Source organism: Homo sapiens, chromosome 15 (genome assembly GCF_000001405.40).
Source record: "Homo sapiens chromosome 15, GRCh38.p14 Primary Assembly".
In the NCBI taxonomy this organism is placed as follows: Eukaryota; Metazoa; Chordata; class Mammalia; order Primates; family Hominidae; genus Homo; species Homo sapiens.
Window position 1 is genome coordinate 21,341,866 of NC_000015.10, and position 4,655 is coordinate 21,346,520.

Below are 4,655 nucleotides of genomic sequence, written 5' to 3' on the forward strand. Positions count from 1 at the left end.
CTTGTGTTTATCATTGCCTGGGTCTGCATTTTCTCTTCTCTAGATTTTGCTTATCCTGCAAAGTTTGTGCTGGGACATCATTTCTAGGATTGAGTTTAAGCTGAGCCTCAGAGTTTTTATTGCAGCTACGGTGGATATGGCTTGGTTCCCTGCAGTACTCTCTGGAAAGTACCTTCCTCCGTTTGAAATCCCTGACGTGGTACCTCCTACAGCCTGCACAGCTCTGGCCTCTGCCATGGGTCTCATGGCCTCTTCTGCTAAAACTAGAGAGGAGGTTCATCCCCTGCCTCTTTATAGAGAAGAGCCACTTGCTGACTGAGCTGAAAAGGGACTCCCCACTGAGCAGGCTCACCAGTGTCCCGACAGCCGGGCAGATCATGGGGACGGGGAATTCTGAGCAGAACCTCTTCAGAAGTTGAGTCTCAAGGGGCCTTGGGGAACTTGGTCAGCAGATGGCAAGACTTCATCTGTCAGTGGGCGGGTCAGCTCAGCGGGACTCCTGTCTTTGGAACTGAGACTCAAGTCTCTACTCTGTACCAAGACAGAGATGGAGGCCAGGAAACAAGACACACAACCATTTTCCATCATCGAGGGGCAAGGCAGGGCTTGGCATGAGGCAGAACCAGGCTCCATCAATGCCACATGTCAGGAGGAACCCCTTTTCTGTTTCAATCCCTCCTGCCCATTTGTGGGAGGCATTAGAGAGGCCTGACATAGTTTTTTTTCTCCACAGCCTGAGGACGTGATAGGATTTCATTCCCGCCCCACCTTGTGGTTGGATGGAATCATGTGCCCAATTCTGGTCAAGATCAAGAAACTGAGGTATCATTTTTGTTTGTGTGGGACCAGGAAAATGGCTCTAATTTGGCTTTGTGTTTGTGCATGTGTGTGAGAACGGACAGGTAAATGTGTGTAATGGAGAGTGGGTAGGTGAGTGTGTACATGTGTGAGAGTGTGTATGTGAGTTGTGTGAATGTTTGTGAAGAAATGTGTGATAGTGGTGTTTGAACTTGGCAGTATGAGTGTGTATGTGGAATATAACTGTGTGCGGATGTGTAAATATGAGTGCATATGTGTGTTAATGTGTGTAAGTGTGTGAATAAGCCATGTGAGTGTGGTGTGTGAGCTTGGGTCCATGAGTGTGTGTGCGTGTCTGTGTGAGCATGACAGAGTGTGTGAGTTTGGGGTGTGTGCAGGCCACAGCCAGTCCCTCCTGGGGTACTAGATCTTTCCAACCCAAGCACCTCAAGTCGTTCTCCTTCCTCACTCCATCCTGAGCTTCCCAGCCAACTGCCTCTCATCCAAACTCCCACAGGGAAACAGTCCCTGGGACTAGGGGCTCTGAGCATGGCACAGTGCCAAGTCTCCTCCCTGGCCACCTCCTGAGAACCTGGGTGTAGCACAAAACAGTCAAATATGTTCCTCTTCTGTCATCACTAACTAGAGCTCCACAGCTTCCCAGATTGCCCTGTTAGCTCTTCACCATAATTAGCTATTTTCTGATATCATACTAACATTCCTTAATTATTCCCTCAGAAACAAAGCAAATCCGTGGGATGCAGAGGGTACGCTGATGACTTCTGCTGGGGAGAGAAGCCCAAACACACGTCCTGGGCAGAGCCCAGAGACCTGGAGTGTGGCTGCCAGTGGGCACCCGGCTGAGGGACAAGCAGGTGGGCCTCAGTGGTGGCTGCCAGGTCCCTGGACGCAGGGGGCCACCGGCTTTGCCTCTCCTCTGCCTCGGAAGCACCGGAGGCTTTGGGGATCTGGTGGTCCTCCGGCCCTGAACGTGGACCTGGTGTGACAAAGGGAAGTTTGCCATCTCCATCCTCCTCAAGCTGCCTGTGCACCCCAGTAGCACTCACCCTCTCTGTGCTCCCGTCTGCACCGCATGTCCTGGGGTCCTTCTTTGTGCTGCACCCAGTGACAGGAACCAGTGTCCCGACTGTGACTTACTTCCCCCCTCAGGGACACACAAGGACTTTCACATCGAGGCTACTTTTCACCCCTTCTGCCTCCTGCAGGGACGCTGCATGCAGAGGCAGGAGGACAGAGGGGCTGGTCTCAGGTGTGGCTTCTCTCATACCTGGCGCAGGTGGCCACTCCCCTTCCCCCCCCACTCCCCCACCCCACCTCAGCTCCCGGGTGTGAATGAGAAAGGGGAACCAAGAGATCATCATTACATGGGACATGCCACAAACCCCAAAAAGACCCATTTGGTGAAAAGAAGTAAAACAACCACAAGGCTATTTTGGCCTGAGGTGGTCTCATGGCTGAAGCAGCCGCTGGTCTCTTGCCTGGGCTACTCAAATAGTAACCCGGTGTGTCCTCCCATGTGCATTTTCCTTCGGGTTGAGCAAAAACACTTTGTCATCCTCCCACTCCTCAATAGAGCAGAAGGGAATGAAAGGCAACTACAGGGCCTTACAGAGCTGCTCCGGGGGCCGCGGGAAACTTATCAGCATCCTAGAAAAGACAAAACCAGTGGGTTGCATGTGGCCTCTGACACCTGCCACCCTGACTGCAGGGAGTGGCCTCCCCCACCTTTCACCTTCCCATCATTAGTAAGCAAAGTGACCCCCTACGCCTGGACAAAGCGCTCAAAAGCCCAGGCCCGCGGGTTAGCTCCAGCCGCTCGGCTTGACAGGGGCCAGGGAGGCGGGCCAGCCCCACAGCCAAGTCACAGCTCCAGGGCCTGGTCGCACCTGAGCAGCGCGGCCTCGGGCTGCTGCTGGCGCTGCAGGATCCGCGCCTGACCCTCCAGCCTGCGCAGCGGGCACTCGGCCGGGAAGCACCTCTCCAGCAGGCGGCTCAGCACCACGTTCACGCGCCCGCGCCTGTGGCCGCGCGGGCCCCAGCTCCACTTAGCGCTCACAGACCGTGAGCCCGCAGGGCAGCGTCACAGGCTTGTGCAGCAGCCGTGGGCAGCCAAGCAGGTCGCGGGGCGCGCCGGGCGCCAGGGCCGGCCCTCCCTAGCCCTGAGCTCGCCGCCAGGCTTCCCCGCCAACAGTGGCCGTTCGCGCAGGCCGGGACACACCAGGCCGCCCGCCAGCTCCCCCAGCTCCTCCGGACTCAGCGCCTCCAACCTCCCGGCTACATGGAACGCGCCCAGGGCCACCGGGAGGCGGCCGGCGCGGGCCAGCGCGTCCCCCAGCCTCAGGCACCGGCCGCGGTCGGGCTGCGCCAGCAGGGCCAGCATGGAGCGGAAGAGCCCGGCGCTTTCTGGTACTTGCTCGCGCGGAAGGCCTCGTCGCCCTCCTCCAAGCGGTGGGCGATTGGCTTCCCGCAGCAGCAGCCCGACACTGGGGCGGCGGCGGCGGGACCGGCTCAGTGCTGATTCTCGCGGGGCTGCGACCCTGCGGGCCTGGAGCGAAGGCGCGGAGCAGGGGCGATGAGCTGCTGCTGGGAACTGGCCGGCGGGAGCGCGGCCACAGCCTTCGCCTGCAGAACCAAAAAAACGGTTTTAAAAATCTTTTTAACATCCGCAGAACGTGAAGAATTACATTGGAAATTGGTTAGAGATTGTATTGGACCTATAGATTGATTTGAGTATGATGGTCATTTTAACAGTATTAACACTTCTAATTCAAAAAATGGGATAACCTTGTCTTTACTTGTATCTTTTCAATTGATTTTTATCAATGTTTTATAGTTTTCATTTTAGACGTCTTTATTTTGCCAGGCATTTTTTTTATAGCTATTTTCAATGGGGATTCCTTTTTCAGATAGTATGCTGTTGGGTATAGAAATGCATCTGATTTTTCTATGCTGATTTTGTATTCTAAAACTTTACTGTATTCATTTACTGTTTCTGTTTTTCAGTATAGGGTCTTTTATACATATGACATGATCTATGTCATCTGCAAACAGGGACAATTTGACTTTCTTTTTGTTTTTCAATTTGGATGTCTTTTCTTTCTCTTTTCTAATTGCTCTAGCTAGGACTTCCAGTGCTATGTTGAAGAGAAGTTATTAAAGTGAACATCCTTGTCTTGTTCTTGATCTTAGAGACACAGTTTTCAATTTTTCCTTATTCAGTATCATGTTGGCTGTGGGTTATCACATATGGCCTTTATTTTATTGAGTTATACTCTTTTTATAACTGATTTGTTAAGAGATCTTATGTTTACAAAAAACATTGAATTTTGTCAAATGCTTTTTCTGTATCTATTTAAATGATTATATGATTTTTATCTTACCTTATCGAATGTGGTGTATCACATTTATTGATTTATATATCATAAGCCCTCCTTGCCTCCCTGGAACAAATACAGCCTGATTATGGTGAATCATCTTTTTAATGTGCTTTCAAATTATGATTGCTAGCATTGCTGGTTTTGAATTTTTGCATTTATGTTCATCACTGATATTGGCCTGTAGTTTAGTTTTTCACTGTTCTTGTCGCATTTTGGAATAAGGTAATTCTATCTTCATAGAATGAGTTTGGAAGAGTTTCCTCCTTTTCACTTTTTTTGGAACAGTTTGTAAATAATTAGTATATGTTCCTCTTTAAATGTTTTGAAGAATTCAGCAGTATAAGCATTGGATCCTCGATTTTTATTTTCTTCTCCTTCCCTCCCTTCCTTCCTTCCTCCCTCCCTCCCTCCCTCTGTCTCTCTTTTCTTCCTCTTTCTTTCTTTCTTTCTTTTTCTTCT

The 4,655-nt window shown here is 51.1% G+C and overlaps 1 long non-coding RNA gene and 1 pseudogene across 1 annotated transcript; one reads left to right on the plus strand and one right to left on the minus strand.

The window, feature by feature from the left end:
- The first annotated feature begins 365 nt into the window (after positions 1-365).
- Positions 366-2,249, plus strand: LOC112268154 (uncharacterized). Its single transcript, XR_002957733.2, has 3 exons — positions 366-644; positions 734-822; positions 1,537-2,249. It is a non-coding gene; the product is annotated as an uncharacterized LOC112268154 (long non-coding RNA).
- On the minus strand, positions 2,684-3,447 carry LONRF2P4 (LONRF2 pseudogene 4; annotated as a pseudogene).